Source organism: Homo sapiens, chromosome 14 (genome assembly GCF_000001405.40).
Source record: "Homo sapiens chromosome 14, GRCh38.p14 Primary Assembly".
Taxonomy (NCBI): domain Eukaryota; kingdom Metazoa; phylum Chordata; class Mammalia; order Primates; family Hominidae; genus Homo; species Homo sapiens.
The window spans coordinates 83,935,468-83,956,565 of record NC_000014.9 but is presented as its reverse complement, the minus strand read 5'-3'; positions in this window follow the sequence as shown (position 1 = coordinate 83,956,565).

The window sequence follows — 21,098 nt, the reverse complement described above, 5'->3', positions numbered from 1 at the left end:
TATATCTCCTGCCTGATATATATTATGGTTCGGACTGTGAGCCAATATCTCATCTGCATGGGCCATAGCTGTCCCCAAAATGCATTGTTTCTCTTCCACTGTACAACACAAAGACAACCAAACATGCAGAGCCTGCCAAGTTAAACTATAGGTCAGAGTTAATTTCTCAAACTTATGATGAATCTTCCTGTATCTTCAGAGAAATTACATAGAGCCAAATCAGGCCAAGAAAAGGGAACATGTATTCTCACAGTGCCTTCTTCTCTGTTTGCCACCTTTCTAAGGGGACAAAGATTTTCCTTTGGAGGTGGATAGGAGGCTCCACTACGAGTAGTATTCATTGGGCTAAGTTCCTCAGGGAGCGATGGGTATACAGTGGGACTAGAAATGTATGGGGGAGGGTATGAAGGGTTCTCAATAGAACTTTCAGTTGAGCTAGAGGGAGAAAGAACTGACACATCTGAATTTTCAGAGCTGACAGAAGGAGGTTTTGCTCCACCCCAAACTGTCCGCTGAACCAGGGCGGCTTACATTAAAGGATTGTCTAGTATGTTTAGCTCTTTTCTTCCTTTCCTCTAGTCAAACATGATTCACATTATCCAAATAACTTAAATAACATAACATAAAAGCCATGAATCTTAGATAAACGACAACATGGACTTCAATAAAAATGTCGAATAAGGCAAAGGAAATGAAGAGGATTTAGATGGGAATGACCAGAGCAAGCAGGTTCTGGGCAATAGTAGCAGTGTGGATTGTACAAGCAAAGCTGGTTTGCCTGAATCCAAGAAAAGAAAGAAGTTTTTTTAGTGTCCAATATGAAACAAAACAGCAAGGAGAAGAGTCCCCTAATTTCCATCCTAGTGCTTCTCGATCACAGCTAGTCAGCATAGCAGCAACAAAATATAACCATATCTATCTAATCTTATTGCTCATAGCTGTTAAATACCAAATCTCAATCAACAATCTTAGAGACAGAGCCTTCATTGCTTTTTGTTCCCAATGTTTCACAAGCAGACAGATGGATATCGGGAGGCACATAGGAAGAGAGGAAGTTAAAATCCCTAAGACCAGTTAATAAAGTCTCCTGAAAATGACAGTGAAACAGAGACCAACAAATTGACTTGTGCAACAAGGAGGACAAGGCAGATTAATACAAAGAGCATAGCCTGTGGTGCCAAATCCATTTTTAGCTGAGAAGGACTTTACTGAGAAGGCCTCTAACCCCCTAAATCTTAGAAGAGACTCTAACCCTCCTAAGTCAGGTCTCTAACCTGAGGTTAGTCAAGCATGCTTGCCTTTTATTAAGAGGGGCCTCTACCCATTCTGTCTTAGGAAAGATTCTAACTCCCCTAAGTTGAGCCTCTAACCCAATCTTATTCTTTACCTGGGTACCTACCACTTACCCAGTCATCCAATCAGTGCTGCAGTCTATTTTGAGGGTTGGAGGGGGTGGGGTCCTTCAATATTGTCCCTTCCATAGTTGACCAGAAATATGTTACAGTACCACAACACTTACCCAAATGTAGCCATTGGGTCAGGATTTCTGCACTATAATCCCATCTGGGTCACCAGAAATATGTTACAGGACAGGGGTCTGGATCCAGACCCCAAGAGAAGGTTCTTGGATCTTGTGCAAGAAAGAATTCAGGGCGAGTCCACAGTGCAAAGTAAAAGCAGGATTATTAAGAAAATAAAGTGATGAAAGTATAGCTACTCCATAGACAGAGTAGGGAGTTCCTGAAAGTAAGAGGATGAAGGAATCCATCCTAGGTACAATGCTTGTATATATGGGCAGATGTGTTCTGCTACAAGGGTTTGTGATAAAGGATTAATTTTCTTAATGACTGTATTTTCCAAGAATCAACATTATTATCTTTAAAGAAAAATTAGGAATGCCTTTGTTCTCCAGATATTAGGATATCTGGACACTCCCAAGTCGGAGTCTGTTTTAGTAAACATTATTAATTTATTCCCCTAACCATAAACATCTAGAGGCTAGGAATGCCTAACTTTCTGAGAATGCATCCCAGCAAGTCTCAGCCTCATTTTCCTAGCCCTCACTCAAAATGGAGTCACTCTGGTTCGAATGCCTCTGACACATTCAGCATTATATAATTACCTTTTAGAACAGGGACAATTTATTATTATATTTCTTATACTTATCTTAATAATAATATGTGTTATTACATAGTTTTACTCGATGTTGTTATGATTATTTAGAAATGATCATTAGGTAAGAGAGGTGCATTATATATATACTAAATATATACTATATTTAGAAGAATCAAAATTTAGAATAAATCTTAATATAAAAAAATAAATTATAGCACAGTGTCTTAGTCCATTTGGGCTGCTACAACAAAATGTTAAAAAATGAGTAGCAATATTGTAAACAGCTGAAATGTGTTTCTACAGTTCTAGAGGCTGCAAGTCTAAAATCAAGATACTAGCATATCTGGTGTCTGGTGAGGGTCTGTTTCTCATAGACAATGTCTTTTAACTATTTCCTCACAAGATGGAAGGGGCAAAACAGCTCTAGGACCTCTTTTGTAAGGGCACTAATCCCATTTTGGGGGGCTCCACCCTCATAACCTAATCATTTCCTTTTGTTCTAACTCCACAACCTTGAGGGTAAGGAATTTCAACATGTGAATTATGGGGGAAGTGCACACAAACGTTCAGAACACAGCACTTGGTATAAAGTAGAAAACTATGCTGCCATTAAAAATCACAATGTGAGAGAATATTTAATAAAATGTTTAAATGTTTAGTACTAATTAAAGAGTCATAATAAAACATTCTCTAGAAATATGTGTAAGTTTCAACATCATATATATATATATATATATATATATATATATATATATATATATATATACACACACACACATATAATCTCTTTAAGGGTAAATAACCACTGTCCATATTTTACTGTATCCTTGGGTGTTTGGTTTGTTAATAATGTTTGTTTTATTTATTCTTTTCTGCAGCTCTACAAATGTTCTGTATGAACAATTTTCTGTAATTTACAAATGTTTTATAGTAACCTAGTGTTATGATTATATAAAAACACATTAAATTATTTTAAAGCTAATACATTGTTTTAAAATAATATATAAATTTAAAAGGATTAGTAATACCCACTTGTTATGATCTGAATGTTTATGTTTTCACAACACTCGTTATGTTGAAATCCTAATTCTCATGGTGATGATATTCAAAACTGGGGCCTTTGGAAGAAGATAAGGTGGGCATAGTCTTCATAATTAGGATTAATGTCCTTATAAAAAGACCTGAGAAAGCTAGCTAGCACCATGTGAGGACAGCAAAAAGTTGATATCTATGAACCAGGGAAACATGCCCACACCAGACATCAAATCTGTTTGTACCTTATTTTGCACTTCCCAGCCTCCAGAAGTGTGAGAAATAAATTTCTCTTTTTTATAAGCCACCTAGTTTATGATATTTTGCTATAACAGCCTGACACCATTGGTGGCCATAATTTAAGAAAACAGGAACTCCCATGTATTATCAATGATGTTACAATTTATACATACCATTTATTTTTATTTTTTCCCTCCTTCCTTCCTTCCTTCCTTCCTTCCCTCCCTCCCTCTTTCCTTCCTTCCTTTGCAGATTTTCAGTGTTAGCCATACTTGGCCTACTTACCTATTCTTCTCTCCCTGGGATAAGAAAAACAGGATTTTTAAACTTTCATTTTATTTTTAATAAATATCAACAAGGCCAAGATAAAACAGATTTTCAGTAAGCAAGATGTTTGCTAGGAGATTCAGTGTTATACTTCAAACCATCTCCTTAGGCTTGTATCCTTTTTCCACTTAACAACACCCCATAAGTTCCTTTATGGTGGAGCTGGCTACTACCACTTCTAATTATTGTTTGCTTCCTTTGTATTTCACTTGTTTTATGGCCCAGATTATAGGCAATAATCTGGACTGAGGACTGGCCCACCCAGCCCACCACAGCCGCTACTAACACAAATGCTTTCCACCTGGGGACCTGAGAGTTGTCCCGCTACTACTGTGACCATGCATGCCATCAAAGGCAATGAGGACCCACCCGTCCCCACACCTAGCCCACTGCTGCCACTTTTGGCACTAGAAAAACTCTCTGGAGGCCCAAGAATTGGTGTGCTTAGACCCACTCACACCAATTAATGCTCATGTATATTACCTGGAGGCCCAATAACAAGCATCCTTAGCTTATTGATTCCACTACTGGGGCCTGAGATCTGGCCCACCTGGCATCCCTCAGGTGGATGGAAACCTCACTACAGCCTCTACTATCAACTGTAGCCTAAGCCAGCAAAGAAGTCAGACACCACTGATTGTATTTACAGCTGAAAAAATCATATTAAAAACTACCACTACATTTACCCAGAATCAAGGTCAAAATGCCTTATTCAACCAACACTATAAATATATATTTAGGAAAAAATATTTCCCTATGAAAGGCAAAAAAGTTAGAAGAAGTGACTGTTACATCAGATGGATGGATATAAATATAAGGACATGAGAAATATAAAAAAGCAAGGAAATATGACACCTACAAAAATGCAATAATTCCTCAGCAAAATATTTTAATTAATATTTCAATCAAAAATCACTTTATAAAATCCCAGAAAAATAATTCAAAGTAATAATAATAAAGCACAAGGTGTGATACAAGAGAAGAAAAATAAACAATAAAAGGAAAATCAGAAAAAATTCAAGATATAAATGAGGAATTTATTAAAGAAATAAATAACACAAAAAAAAGCAAATGAAAATCCTGTTGCTGAATATTTTAATGGATGAAGTACAAAAAATCTCATTTGAGAGCTTCAACAATAATCTGGATCAAGCAGAAAAAAGAATTTCAGAATTTGAAGATATATCTTTTGGAATAACCCAGTCAGACAAAAAAGAAAAGAATGAACAAAGATTATGTAACACATGGAATGCCAAAAGCCACCAAATGTTCAAATTTTGAGTTTTTAAGAAGTTTAAGAAAAGCCTAAAGCCATAGAAAACCTATTTAACAAGGTAATAGCTGAAAAATGTCCAAGTGTAGCAAGAGCTTTAGACATCCGGATGTAGGAAGCTTATAGGTCCCAAATGGATACAACTCAAAAAAGTCTTCTCCATGGCACATTATTGTCAAAGTATCAAAAGTCAAAGACAAAGAAAGATTTCTAAAAACAGCAAGAGAAAAGCACCTAGCATATATAGGAGAACTCTCACAATGTTAACAATGCATTTCTCAGGAGAAACTTTACAGGCCAGAAGAAAATGGGATGATTTATTTAAGTGCTGAAAGGAAGCAACTATCAGGCAAGAATACTATACCCAGCAAAGCTATACTTCATAAATAAGAAAAAAAAAATAAAATCTTTCCTAGACAAGCAAAAACTGAGAGAATTCATCACCACTAGACAGGCCATACAAGAAATGCTTAATGGAGTCTTACATGTGGGGACAAAAGCATGATGTCTACCATCTAGGATAACACATAAAATTATAAAACTCACTGACAGAGCAAACACACAAATGAGTGACATAAAAAACTCAAAGAGTACCACTACACAAAACCACCAAGTTACAATAATAAGCAAAAAGAGAGAAAGGAAAAGAAATGATATACAAAATGACCAGAAAACAATTAACAAATTGACAAGAATAAGTCTTCACATATCAATAATAACCTTGAATGTAAACAGATTAAATTTCCAACTTAAAATGTACAGACTAGCTAAATGGTTCTTAAAAAGTGAAAAACTATATGCTGCCTACAAAAAAACTCACTTCGCCTATGAATATACATATAGACTGAAACGAAGAGATGGTAAAATATATTCTATGCAAATGGAAATCAAATCTGAGCAGAATTAGTTACACTGATATCAGATAAAATATACTTTAAAGTCAAAAACAGTAAAATAAAACAAAGAAGGTCATTATATAATGACAAAGGGATCAATTCAGCAAGAGAATAATAACAATTCTCGATAAATATATATATATATATATATCCAACACCAGAGCAATCAGATGTATAAAGCATTATTAGATATAAAAGGAAGAAATAGACTTCAATACAATAATATTTGAGAACTTCAAAAGTCAACTCTTAGCATAAGGCAGATCTACAAAATAGAAACTTAAGAAAGAAACATTAGATTTAAACTTCACTTTAGACCAAATTGACTTAATAGTCATCAACAGAACATTTTATCCAACAGCTGCAGAATATACATTCTTCTCATCAGCACATGAAACATTCTCCAGAATAGACCATATGTCAGACCACAAAAGAAGTCTAAACAAATTTTTAAAAATTATGTACCAATTCAGACCACAATGAAATAAAACTAGAAATTAATAACAATAGGAGGTTTGGAAAGTGTACAGATACATGGAAATTAAGCAAAATGCTCCTGAACAACCATTGAGTCAGTGAAGAAATTAAGAGAAAAAAAATTTTAAACAAATGAAAATGGAAATACAATATATGAAATAACCTATAAGATAAAGCAAAAGCAGTACCTAGAGGGAAATTTATAGCAATAAATACTTACATCAAAAAGGTAAAAAGACTTCAAATAAACATCTGTTCACCTCAAATAACTAGAAAATCAAGAAGAAACAAAAACCAAAATTAGAAGAAAAGAAATTTAAAAAATTACAGCATAAATAAATAAATAAATCAGAGAATTTAAAAGATACAAAGAGTCAACAAAATAAAAAGTAGTTTTTTAAAAAAGAGACACAAAATAGATAAACCATTAGCTAGAGCAATCAAGAAAAACAGAGAGAAGACCCAAATAAACAGAATCAGAAACAAAAAAGGAGATATTACATGTGACTATATAGAAATACAAAAGATCTTTGGAGACTATTATGAACAACGATATGCTAACAAACTGGAAAGCCTAGTGGAAATTATTAAGTCCCTGGACACCTACAACCTACCATGGCAGAATCAGGAAGAAATAGAAAACCTGAACAGGCCAGTGATGAGTAACAAGATTGAATCAGGTGTCTCTCAACAAAGAAAAGCCCAAAAACAGATGGCTTCACTGCCAAATTCTACCAAACTTATAAAGAAGAACTAACACCAATTCTCCTTAAACCATTCCAAAAATTTAAGAGGAGAATATTCTTTCTAACATTCCACAAGGCTGGCATTAATCTGATACCAAAAAGGATAAAAAAGAAAACTACAGGCCAATATTCCTTATGGACATAGATGCGAAAATCAACAAAATACTAGCAAACTTAATCCAACAGTATATTAAAAGATAATATATCATAATCAGTGGTATTTATCCTACAAAATGCAAGAATAGTCTAGTATACCTTAATAAAAATGTGCAATACACATACATGGTATGAAATAAAATATTATCTTCATTCTTTGGAATCTCTTAGGATTAAGACATGCAGAAAAAGCATTTCATAAAATTCAACATCTTTTCATTATAAGACCTTTCAAAAACTAGGCATGAAATTAACACGTACCTCAAAACAGTAAAAGCCATATATAATAAACTCATAGCTAACATCATACTTAGTGGAGCAAAGCTGAAAGATTTTCCTCTAAGAACTGAAACAAGACAGGAATACACACTTTTACCACTCCTATTCAGTACAATACTGAAAATTCTATGCAGAGCAATCAGGCAAGAGAAAGAAATAAGAGGCATATAGATTGGAATAAAGAAAGTCAAATTATCCCTCTTTGCAGATGACATGCCCTTATATTTAGAAAAATGTAAATGCTTCACTAAAAACCTTCTTATATCTGATAAGAGAATTCAGCAAAGCTGTAGGATATTAAATTACATACAAAAGTCAGTGGCAGTTCTTTTCACCAATAATAAAATATACAAAAAAAAAGAAGTCAATCTCATTTACAATGGCAACAAAAAATACCTAGGAATAAATTGAACCAAGGAAGTGAAAGGTCTCTAGAAGGAAAACTACAAACACTAATGAAAAAATTAAGAATGGTACAAACAAATAAAAAAACATTTCATGCTATGCATCACATGAAATAATATGGTAAAATTGACCACACTACCTAAAGTAATCTATAGATTCAATGCAATCTCTATCAAAATACCAATATATTGGTATTTGGTGGCTCTTTAGTGTCCAATATGTCACAGAGACTTTGTTAATTATTTTTTTCTTCTCTTTTTCTCTGACTAGGTTATTCCAAAAGACTCATCTACAAATTCTGAATTATTTCTTCTGCTTGATCCAGTTTATTGTTGAAAAAAATTCTAAAATTTGTATGGAAGCAAAGGAAAAAAAAAAAAAGCACAGATAGCCAAAGCAAAGCAATACTGAGCAAAACAAACAAAGCTGGAGGAATCATTATCTGACTTCAGAATACACTGTGTTTATAGTAAACAAAACAGCATGGTACTGACATAAAAACAGACACATACACAAATGAAACAATAGATCACCCAGAAATAAATCCATGTGTTCCCAGCCAACTGATTTTACAAAAGTACCAAAGGCATACGTTGGAGAAAAGACACTCTTTCATAAATGGTGCTGGGAAAACTGGGTCTCCATATGAAGAAGAATGAAACTAGATACCTATCTCTCACCGTATACAAAAATCAATGAGTTAAATAACAAAACATAAGATGCCAAACTATAAAACTACTAGAAGAAAACATGGGGACAACACTTTAGGATATTTAGAAGACTTTATCACTAAGACTTCAAAAGCACAGGCAACAAAACTAAAAACTGACGAAAAGGACTATATTAAAGTAAAGACCTTCTGTACCACAAAGGGAACAATCAATAGAGCGAAGAGACAGTCTGTTGAGTGGAATAATATATTTGCAAGTTAAAGAACTCAAACAACTCAACAGGAAAAAAAATACCATTTTAAAAAAATGGGCAAAGGACATCAATAGACATTTCTCAAAAGAAGACATACAAATGGCTAACGCGTATATGAAAAAAATGCTTGACATCAATAATCATCATGGAAATGCAAATTAAAACCACAAAGAGATAGCATCTTACCCCAGTTAGAATGGCTATTATTAAAAAGACAAAAAATACCACATGCAGGTGATATTTACTGTTGCTGGAAACATAACTTTGTACAGCCATTATGGAAAACAGATTGAAGATTTCTTCGAAACTAAAAATTGAACTACAATATGACCCAGCAATTCCACTACTGGGTATTCATCCAAAGGAAAGGAAATCAGTATATCAAAAAGATACCTGCATCCTCATGTTTACTGCAAATGCTATTCACAATAGCCAAAATAGGGAATCAATCTATGTGTTTATCAGTGGAGGAATGGATAAAGAAGTTGTGGTATATATACATAATGGAATACTATTCAGCCATTAAAAAAGAATTAAATCATCTCATTTGCAGCAACATGAGTTGAAGTGAAGGTTATTGTATTAAGTGGAATTAGGTAAGCACATAAAGACAAATATATTTCTCACTTACCTGTGAGAACTAAAAAAAGTGGATCTCAAGTAACTAGAGATTAGAATGATAGCAGAGGTTAGTGTGTGGAGAGTGAAAAGAGATTGGTTAATGGGTACAAATTTAGAGTTAGATAGAAAAATAAGTTCTAATGTTTGATAGTAGAGTAGGGTGACTATAGATAACAACAATGTATTTTATATTTCAAAATGGTTAGATAAGAGGACTTAAAATATTCCTAACACATGTAAATGACAAACACACAATGTGATAGATATATCCTGTATATGTATTAAGTAAATATCCTGACTTAATCAATTCACATTCTATACACATAACAAAAATCACATATATCCCTAATATCCAAATATTATGCAGTATCAATTAAAAAATAAAAATAAATTTATCTACATCTGTTCTTCACATTTTATTGAAGACATTGTATTATTTATTTACACTAGGTTCTCAGAGTAACAGAACAATGAGAGAAACATATAAAGATATTTACTCACAAAAGTATGGAGGAAGAGCAGTCTCATTAACTGCCATCTACAACCTGAAGACCCAGGAAAGCAACAGATTTCAGTCTAGGTTTGAAGGCCTGTGAACAAGGAGTGCCAAGGGAAGAAGACTGATGTTCCAGCTCAGTTATTCTGATAGTGAATTCAACATTACCATGCATTTTTGCTTTGGAATGGCCCTTAATGTATTGAATGATGCCTAGTCACGTTGGCGAAGGTTGTAGGCTTTACTCAGTTCACCTATTAAAATGGTAATCTCTTCTGTGAGACACATCTCATAGAAACACCTAGGAATAATGTTCAACCAGCTATCTAGGCATCCTATGGCATAGTCAATTTGACACAACCATTATAGTCATTATCTAGATTTCTTAAAATGTTTATTTTGATAATTTTAGACTTAAAAAATGTACAAAGATAGTAAACAGAGTTTTTTAATACTCATTACCCAGTTTTACTCATTTTTAATCCTTTGGATTACTATGGTATATTTACCAAAACAAACAAATTGACACTGTTACATTGCTACATGTAGCATGCTTTTGCTGAGAAGGATTAAGTCCCACCTTTTATGTAGGGGAAGTATCTACACATATTATTTGGAATTACTTTGTAAAAATATTTGTCTTTTCTCCTTATTTATTCATAAATTTATTTATATTAGTAAGGACACATATTTATTTTATACTTTGGTTGCTAATTGACTAATATGTGAATTATATATATATATATATATTCTCAAATTGTTCAGATTTTTGTCATTGGGTGTTCACTTTTAGGTTGGCTTTGTGTCCCTTTGACATGCCTTCATATGTTTGTTTACTAAGCATTGTTTCCTGGTCAAAAAAGTGTTCCAAACTCATCTGATATTTCCACTGTCCCAGTCTCAGAATAAGGCATTTCTCCAAGTAGTCCTGTATTTTGTCACTGGAGAATAGTATTTTAAAACAAGAATCTGGATAATAGGTGAGTTCATTGCTACTGATCACTCTCAAAATACACAGATATATAACATCATTATGTTTACTGATATGGTTTGGCTGTCTCCCCACCCAAATCTCATCTTAAATTCCCATGTGTTGTGGGAAGGACCCAGCTGAAGGTAATTGAATCATAGGGGCAGTTCTTTCCTGTGCTTTTCTTGTGACAGTGAATAAGTCTCACAAGATCTGACAGCTTTATAAGGTGTTATTTCCCTGAATAAGCTCTCCCTTTGCCTGCTGCCATCCATGTAAGATGTGACTGGCTCCTCCTTGACTTCCACCGTGATTGTGAGTCTTCCCCAGCCATGTGGAACTGTAAGTCCATTAAACCATTTTTTTTTTGTATAAATTACCCAGTGTTGGTATGTCTTTATCAGCAACATGAAAACGGACTAATTCAGGTAGGTGGTACCAGGAATGGGGTGCTGCTGAAGAGATACCCAAAAATGTGGAAGATACTTTGGAAACTGGGTAACAGGCAGAGGTTGGAACAGTTTGGAGGACTCAGAAGAAGATAGGAAAATGTGGGAAAGTTTGGAACTCCATAAAGACTTATTGAATGGCTTTGATCAAAATGCTGATAACGATGTGGACAATGAAATCCAGGCTGAGGTGATCTCAGAAGAAGATGTGGAACTTGTAGGGAACTGGAGCAAAAGCAACTCTTGTTAGGTTTTAGTAGAGACTGGTGGCATTTTGCCCCTGCCCCAGAGATGTGTGGAACTTTGAACTTGAGGGAGATAATGTAGGGTATCTGGCAGAAGAAATTTTTAAGCCCCAAAGCATTTAAGAGGTGACTTGGGTGCTGTTAAAGGCATTTAGTTTTATAAGGGAAACAGAACATAAAAGTTCAAAAAATTTGCACTTTTATGTGATAAAATGTGATAGAAAATAAAATCCCGTTTTCTGAGGAGAAATACTAACCTGCTGCAGAAATTTGCATAAGTAACAACTAGCTGAATGTTAATCCCCAAGAAACGGAACAATGTCTCCAGGGCATGTCAGAGGTCTTCTTCATGGCATCCCCTCCCACCACAGGCCCAGAGGCCTAGGAGGAAAAAGTGGTCTCGAGGGCCAGGCCCAGGGTCCCTGTGCTGTGTGCAGCCTAGGGACTTCGTACCCTGCCTCCCAGCCTCTCCAGCCATGGCTGAAAGGGGCCAATATAGTGATCAGGCTGTGGCTTCAGAGGGTGCAAGTCTCAAGCCTTGGCAGCTTCCACGTGGCATTGAGTCTTCCAGTGCACAGAAGTCAAGAATTGGGGTTTGAGAAACTCCACCTAGGTTTCAGAACATGTATGGAAATGCCTGGATGTCCAGGCAGAAGTTTGCTGCAGGGGCAGGGCTCTCATGGACAATCTCTGCTAAGGGAGTGCCAAGGGGACTGTAGGGGTTGGAGCCCCAACACAGAGTCCCTACTGGGGCATTGCCTAGTGGAGGTATGAGAAGAGGGCCACTGTCCTCCAGACCCCAGAATGGTAGATCCACTGACAGCTTGCATTGTGTATCAGGAAAAGCTGCAGACATTCAACACCAGCCCATGAAACCACCCAGGAGTGCAGCTGTACCCTGCAGAGCCATAGGGACAGAGCTGCCCAAGTCCATGGGAACCCACCTCTTGCATTGGTGAGACATGGAGTCAAAGCAGATCATTTTGGAGCTTTAAGATTTGACTGCCCTGCTGGAATTTGGACTTGCATGGGTTCAGTAACCCGTTTGTTTTGGCCAATTTCTCCCATTTTGAATGGGTGTATTTCCCCAGTGCTTGTACCCCCATTGTATCTAGGAAGTAACTAATTTGCTTTTGATTTCACAGGCTCATAGGTGGAAGGGATTTGCTTGGTCTCTGATGAGACTTTGGACTGTGGAATTTTGAGTCAATGCTAAAATGAGTTAAGAATTTGGGGGACTGTTGGGAAGGAATGATTGGCTTTGAAATGTGAGGACATGAGATTTGCGGGGACCAGGGGTGGAATGAAATAGTTTGGCTGTGTCTTCTCTACTCAAATCTCATCTTAAATTTCTACATGTTTTGGGAGGGAAATTGTTGGAGGTAATTAAATCATGGGGGCATGTCTTTCCTGTGCTGTTCTTGTGATAGTGAATAAGTCTCATGAAATCTAATGGCTTGTAAGGTGGTGTTTCCCTGCATAAGCTCTCTCTTTGCCTGTTGCCATCCATGTAAGACATGACTTGCCCCTTCTTGCCTTCCATCATGATTGCGAGTATTCCCCAGCCACATGGAAATATAAGTCCATTAAACCCTTATCCTGTATAAATTGCCTATTCTCAGGTATGTATTTATCAGCAATGCGAAAACAGACTAATACATTTACTAATCCAAGTACACTCACATATTTGTAATTGTTTCTGCACATACTTGTGTATATTTGTATATACACAAGGCTAAACATCTAATCTTTTATAGTGAAATCTGTGACTTTTAAAATTGTATGAATTGACATTAAATTATTTTCATTTTTTCTTATAAAAATCTTGCTGACTTGAGCTTCTCTAGCTATTTCTATATATACATATTATAGACACACATCCCCCATGACTTTCATCTATTTAACATCTATCTATTTATTCAAAAGTAGATAGAAAAATAGATGTAATACAATCATCTAATCTACAAACTTAACAAAAATAAGCAATGGGGAAATAACTCTCTATTTAATAAATCATGCTGGAATAACTGGCTATCCGTATACAGAAGAATGAAACTGGACTGCTACTGCTTGCTACATAGAAAAATTAACTCAAGAATTGAAGACATAAATGTAAGACATCAAACTATAAAAATACTAGACAAAAAACTAAGAAATACCCCTCTTGACATCAGCCTTGACAAATAATTTATGGCTAAGTCCTCAAAAGCAATTGCAACCAAAATAATAATTGTTAAGTGGGACCTAATTAAACCAAAGAGCTTCTACACAGCAAGAGAAACTACCCAGGGAGTAAAAAGACAACTTACAGAACAGGAGAAAATATTTGCATATTATATATCAAACAAAGGTCTAATATCCAGAAACTGTGAAGAACATAAAAAAATCAACAATCAAAAAATAAATAACCCCATTAAAAAGTGGTCAAAGGACCTGATAGACACTTCTCAAAAGAAGGCATAACCATGGGCAACAAACTTGAAAAAATACTTATCATCACTAATCATCAGAGAAATTCAAATCAGAACCATAATGAGATACAGTCTCACATCAGTTAGAATTACTTTTGTTAAAAAGCTAGAAAAATAGGATGTTGGCATGGCTGGAGAAAAGGGGACATTGATGTATTGTTGGTGGTGATGTAAATTATTTCAGCCACTATGGAGAGCAGTCTGGAAATCTCCTAAATAACTAATAGCTGGTCTACCATTCAACCCAGAAATCCCACTACTGGGCATATACCCAAAGGATAATTAGTCATTTTACCAAAGGACACATGTACCCATATGCTGATCACAGTGCTATTCACAATAGCAAAAACACTGAATCAACTTAAGCGCCCATTAACAGTGGATTGGATAAATAAAATGTGGTACATATACACCATGGAATACTATGCAGCCATAAAAAACAATAAAATAATGTCTTTGCAACAATATGGGTGCAGCTGGAAACCATTATTCTAAGTGAACTAATGGAGAAACAGAAAACCAAATATTGCATGTTCTTACTCATAAGTAAGAGTTAAACATTAGGTCCACATGGACAAAAAGATGGGAAGAGTGGACACTGGGGACTACTAGATGTGGAAGAGAGAGAGGGAAGTGCTGAAAAACTATCCATTGGGTACTGTGCTCACTACCTGGGTAACAGGTTCAATCACACCCCAAACCTCAGTATTATGCAATATACTTTTGTAACAAACATGTAAATATATCTGCTATGTCTAAAATAAAAGTTGAGAAAAAAATCAAACCAATAAGCATTTTTTTTTAAAGATTGCATCAGCTATCCTTCCACTCAATTACAGTGGTCATAAATGCAACATGTTGATATAGTTTGTTTGGAATATTGAAATTATAATTATATATTCATATATATTTTTAGCACACTAGTGAGATTATATGATTTTCAATTTTACCTAAGTTGTTTCAAGCATAAGATTGGTGATATAATTCTTAGTGCATTGGTGTGGTTTTACTATTTTTTAAATTTTATATTAGTAATGTTTTCAAATTCATAAGCTATGAAAAAGAAAATAACTACTGAAAGTATATTCTTGTTAACTTATTCTGCAAAATATACTATATTTTAAAAATTATTTATTTCCTTTAATTATTCAGTAAGTTGTTGATAAGGACTTATTTTATACTTATTAAGTGTAAAGAGCAATAAGAGAGTTTTAATAACATTGTATATCAAATATTTATATTTAAATTTTTTAGTCACTAATATTCTTTGTCACCAAAGGGTAGATTTTTCTTTGCCAGAGCTTTATACAAATAGAACCATACAGAATACACACACACACACACACACACACACACACACACACACACAGACACACAGTGTTCTGAATTTTTAAATTCAAATGTTTAATTTTTTTCTCTCAAGTGCATCTGGCTTTATCTTCAACAGTAATCTTCCTCTAAAATCATCCAGACCCCAGACCATACTGATCGTCAAAACCTGAAATGTTTTTGATACACGATAATCAATTTTAAAGGTAATTTACATTATAGGTTAGTGAGCATGCAAGAAAAAAATAAAAGGTAAAAATTATCAGGTGTAATGCAAGTATAATATTAATTTTATCAATGAGAAATGGTCCATTGAGATTGTGAGAAATTAACAAATGTCTTTTTGTCTATCACCTTTGTTAAGAACAAAAAATCTTTACTTCCAAGGGAAGTCACACATAGTAAATATAAAGTGAGTTAACAGGCAACTAAAGGATATATACATTATATATATATGTATATATAATGTATATATTATGTATATATATATTTTTCTAAATCAAATATCGTCTTTATCAAGGCTCATCTCAGGCATTTTGGCCCTTTCCTATATAACAATTAATATGGACAAAACTGCACCCCAGGACATTATACAGCAAAGAGAGAAAGGGGCTGTGCTTATTCTAAGCTGATCAGCTCCCTCACTGGCATTGCCTCTCCTGCCACCCAGTGTTGTTGTTAGAGTTGCTCTTTTTGCATGATGCCTTTTCCAAATCTCAGCGCAAGCTGTGCCATTACAGTTAGGTAAGGTTTATTACATGTCATTTACAAGAAAAAAAAAAAGTTAAGACCAAAATAATATTGGCAATCTTTGCTTACTTCACATCCATGCCTTATCAATCCTGTTTAGACTGGCACTGTTTCTATTTCATTAGGGTTAATATGGGTGTTCATGGAACTTGTAACTTACCACTCTTATCCAACTTTCTTCAAGGCATTTCTTAGCATAGTACTATAATTCATCAATCACTTTAAGAATATAAGTGAAACTAAATTATCATACATTTATGTAGTAATAAATATTATAATCAATTGATTTTTAGTTCATAATAAATAACACCATTACTCTCATGAGACTTTATTTTGGAAGAAAGTGGTAAATTTATTTGTTGAGTTCTGCAGAAAAATAGTTTCTCCATGTCGCTAATAATACTTTTTTTCTCAAAATGTTGTGTTTTGGGTCAGTGGCAAGATCAGTCCAAAGACAGTGTTTCCTGTGTTTCAATCAAATTACAGTGTAGACAGGTTAAACTGAACATTCTAACCTAATATTACCATGCGAATATTTACTTGAACTACCACTCTATATTGAAAAATGTAAAAATATTCAAATAAATGAGCAATAAAGTTTTAAGAAATCAAGTTTGTCATCAACTTTCCTTTACATTTGCTTTCTGGTGGTGTTACTTTCACAATAAAAGATGACTTAGCTTAGGAGGCAGGCTCCCCAGATCTCAGTAATCCCATGGTAAGAAGCAATGGAAGTCGCACAGTGACAAAAACCTAAAACTGCCTGCTTACAAGACAACATTGATGCTATGACTTTAGATAGAACACATACTTTTCCATTTCTATTAGAGAACTGGAAGTGGGGACAAAGAGAAATAATGTAATCAAGATTTTAGATACATCGGGTCTTCAGACAAGGAAGGAACACAGGTCCAAAATCAGCCTCTTGTGGGAAGATTTGTCCCAGTTAATTTAAAAATCAGTCACCATTGGATTCCACATAATCAACAGAGATTGATATGCATCCTGGTAAGGCAAAAATCAAGATTTTTGTCCATGTGTCTTCTCTTGAACTGAGCATATGAACAAGGAGCTGTCCTTCCTCTCTGCCACTCCATGTTCTGTCTCTCCTTGGCAAGCCCTCACCTAGGTCCTTTTCCGATCCAGTATGACTTTGATTAGATTGTAACATGCTAATTTGCTTAGATAACTTATTTGCCTCTTGCGTTAAATGTCTTCCTATTTAGCCTTTTTTTGGTAATAAAGGGCATATTTTGCTTCCCCATTTACTCCTCCCTTCTCAATTAATTCAGAAATTGGGCATGATCTTTTTAAGTATCTCAGTATCTCTGACAAAGGCATATCTCTGAGGCATACATAACTCATTATGGCAAAAGGGGCATATCTGAGAGATAAGCCTCAAGATTAAGAGAAGAGATTCCTCTTAGAATAGAAGAAGCTTTCACAAATTTGCAGAAAAAGGACACAGGAGAGGTTATAAAACATATCTTTATGGTTAGGACCAAACCAGGCTGCATGCTAACAGCAATGTTTAAGACAGTCTAGATCAGAAAAGTAAAAGGGATTCATGTCTTCCTTTTTTTCTAGAATTAGAGTTTCAGGGAGATAACAAGATTGTAGAAATAAATCATTGCCTGATACAACCAGAACGAAGGGACTATCCATGGCCTTGCAAAAAGATTTATGTCCCAGCCTTGCACAATGCATTAGAGCACACCTGACTCTTCAAGAATATTAAGGATGCAGTAGAAAGGGCTATCAGATCTCAGATGTCCAAATAGCTAGAAAAGAACCACCCCTCAGTGGTGGTTCATCGTGCTTTCAACCAATGCCAGGTGGAACAATAGAAGTTCCAGGGGCTACATGGGTAGTCAGGTCTCTCAAGAATCATGCTGCAAACCCCTCCACTTCCTACAGTACCATAAAACCGGGAAAGTTCCCAGAACTTAAGCAAAATGTTCCACAAATGTGGGGTTTATGTTGGTTTGCTGAATTGAATGAAAACAGATTTCAACTACTCTCTTACTATGGAAATCATATTGAATTAAGAAAAAGTTGTTTTTTCTACACACCCAACTTTGTAGAATCAAAACTCATAGCACTGGGAAAATATAAAATGAGCATACTTTTATCACTCTGGCTGTACAAAACTATTTACTATTACAAAAACTTTTAGAAAACTATTTACTGTTTACAAAACTATTTGCACGTGATATTACAAAAACAGCTGTTAGGACCTTCTCCCTTTCTTCCCTACTAGTCTTAGACAAATGATTTTATTTACCTCAACTCTTTCTTATGAGACATGGTTTTACTATGTCTCGTCATTGCCATTTTCCTTAAGTATTTGTTGCTATTCCTTTTAAAGAGTAGGACCCTAAATTGCTCTTAATAATCCACGTTGTTCTGACAAATTAAGGGCAAAATGTGAACAGCATTTCTCTTGGTTTAAGTACTATACTCTTAGAGCATAAATATAATCTAAAATTAATTATCATGGTTACTACACTCCACTGTGAATTCCCATTGATTTCATCATCAGCTAATGCCCTTAGGTCTTCTCCTAAATGGCTTTTTAATAAATAATGTCTCAGTCATCCTATAGCCATGAAGATTTTTAAAAAATAACTTTTAGGATTACATATTTAACACTATTAACCTTCATTCCGCTAGACATTAATCTATATATAATACCTTAGTATTGGCTAAGTTATTAATTTTGTAGTAATATGTTACATCAGTGCCTCATTAAGTTCATAACCATTTATTCGGAAAGACAGCTAGTTGGAAAGAACTCGGAGAAGGAGGATGGGATTGAACATGGAATTACTTAAATAATTGACTTGTTGTTGCTCTTGCCGCACCTGCCATTGCATTTAGTTTTGTTTTTAGTGGAAATTAGGGACAAGTGGAATGGATGATTTACAGGACGTTTTGTTTCACTGGAGGGCTGCATGGATCAAGTAAAGACACATAATGGTAATCTATAAAAGCCTCTACAGAAGTAGAACATTTGAGAGCCACATGTTTTGATAAAACAGAAGGAACTGGCAGAAGGGAATGGAACCCTAGACCTGTTAAAGCATTTGCCCAAGGGCATATAACTATTTAGTAAAAGATATAACTCTTGAAAACTTTTAAATCTTAATAAAGTGTTCTTTCAATAACTTTGTTAATCTTTATGGTTCTATAAAGACTAAATCAAATGTCTTTTCTCCCCATAGCATCTAAAGACAATTTTAATGTTCACAATTATCCTTCTCTTCTCCATGGTAAATATTTGTTATTCCTTAAATTTTCTTCTGAGATCATTTCCAGATCATTCACTCTTCTGATTGCCTTTTTCTGGATGTTCTCCAGTTGCTCATTACCCAACTCCAAAATATGGAGAACTGAATTACACAATATATGTGAAAGCAGAATATTAGGTGTTCAACATACAACTTTTTGAAAAATAAAAGCAGGCTAGTCTGACACATATTAGTAGCAAATTTAATTTCTATTGTGTAAAATGCAGACTTCTATGTAAATTTTCTTCTGCACATTGCCCTAATTAATGTTTCAAATCACAGAGTTATGCATTCAATTCAATATTCTACCACTAAAGATGGAAGAGAGATCTTGACAGAAACACACTAAAGCAAAACTAAAGACTCAAGACAGATTGCTTTGCTGAGAAATAGATGCCCAATTATTGCCATATTTTGTGGCTATACGTTTAACCTTATTTGATATTGTCAGCTCTATAAAAGGGCATGATCATAGATGGTATCAACTGGATGTATTGAGGAGTTTTCTAATGAAAGTTAAGCACATTTTATAACGGTGATTAAATCTCTCTACGACAAATTTCAGTTATTTAAGATTCTGGTAGAACTTTCTCCATAGTACTGTCATATAGAAAAGTATCATCCCTTTCTTTCTCCTTCCTTCCTTCTTTCCTTCCTTCCTTCCTTCTTTCCTTCCTTCCTTCTTCCCTCCCTCCCTCTCTCCCTCCTTTCTCTCTCTCTTTTCTTTCTTTCTTTCTTTCTTTCTTTCTTTCTTCTTTCTTCTTTTTCTTTCTTTCTTTCTTTCTTTCTTTCTTTCTTTCTTTCTTTCTTCTTTCTTTCTTTCCTTCTTTCTTTCTTTCCTTCTTTCTTTCTTTCCTTTCTTTCCTTCTTTCTTTCTTTCCTTCTTTCTTTCTTTCTTTCTTTCTTTCTTTCTTTCTTTCTTTCTTTCTTTCTTTCTCTTTCTTTCTTTCTTTCTTCCTTTCTTTCTCTGTCTCTCTCTCTCTTTCTTTCTTTCTCTCTTTCTCTTTTTAGAGAATGGGTCTTGCTCTGTCACCCAGGCTGGAATGCAGTGGCATGATCATAGCTCCCTGTGGCCTTGAACCCCTGGGATCAAGTGATCTCTCCTCATCCTCTCAAGTAACTGAGACTATAGGCATGTGCCACCATGCTCGGCTAATTTTTAAATGATGTTTTTAGAGATGGGGCTTCACTATGTCTCCCAGGCTGGTCCCAGACTCCTGGTCTTAAGCAATCCTCCCACCTCAACTTTCTAAAGTGTTGAGATTACAGACATGAGCCACCGGACCTGGACCATTTTCTTTATTTCTAATGAAAAAAAAAATACCTTTTGAAAAACAGTATGTGATCAGAGATATGTAAGTGTGCTAAGGTTGTAAAAGCACAGAGTCACACTTTTATTAAAGAAAAGGATAACACTTTTTTTTTTGCAGAAGCATGGAATCAATATGGGAAACATGCAAGTTTTAAAACATAAAAATATTTAGAACTTAAATAACACAATTATGTGTTGACCACAATGTTATCTCTGCTCCTTTATCCTTCCAACCCAGGACTAATTACTTATTCTATGTTCAAGATTCATTCTTAAACTTTTCCCCAAGACACTT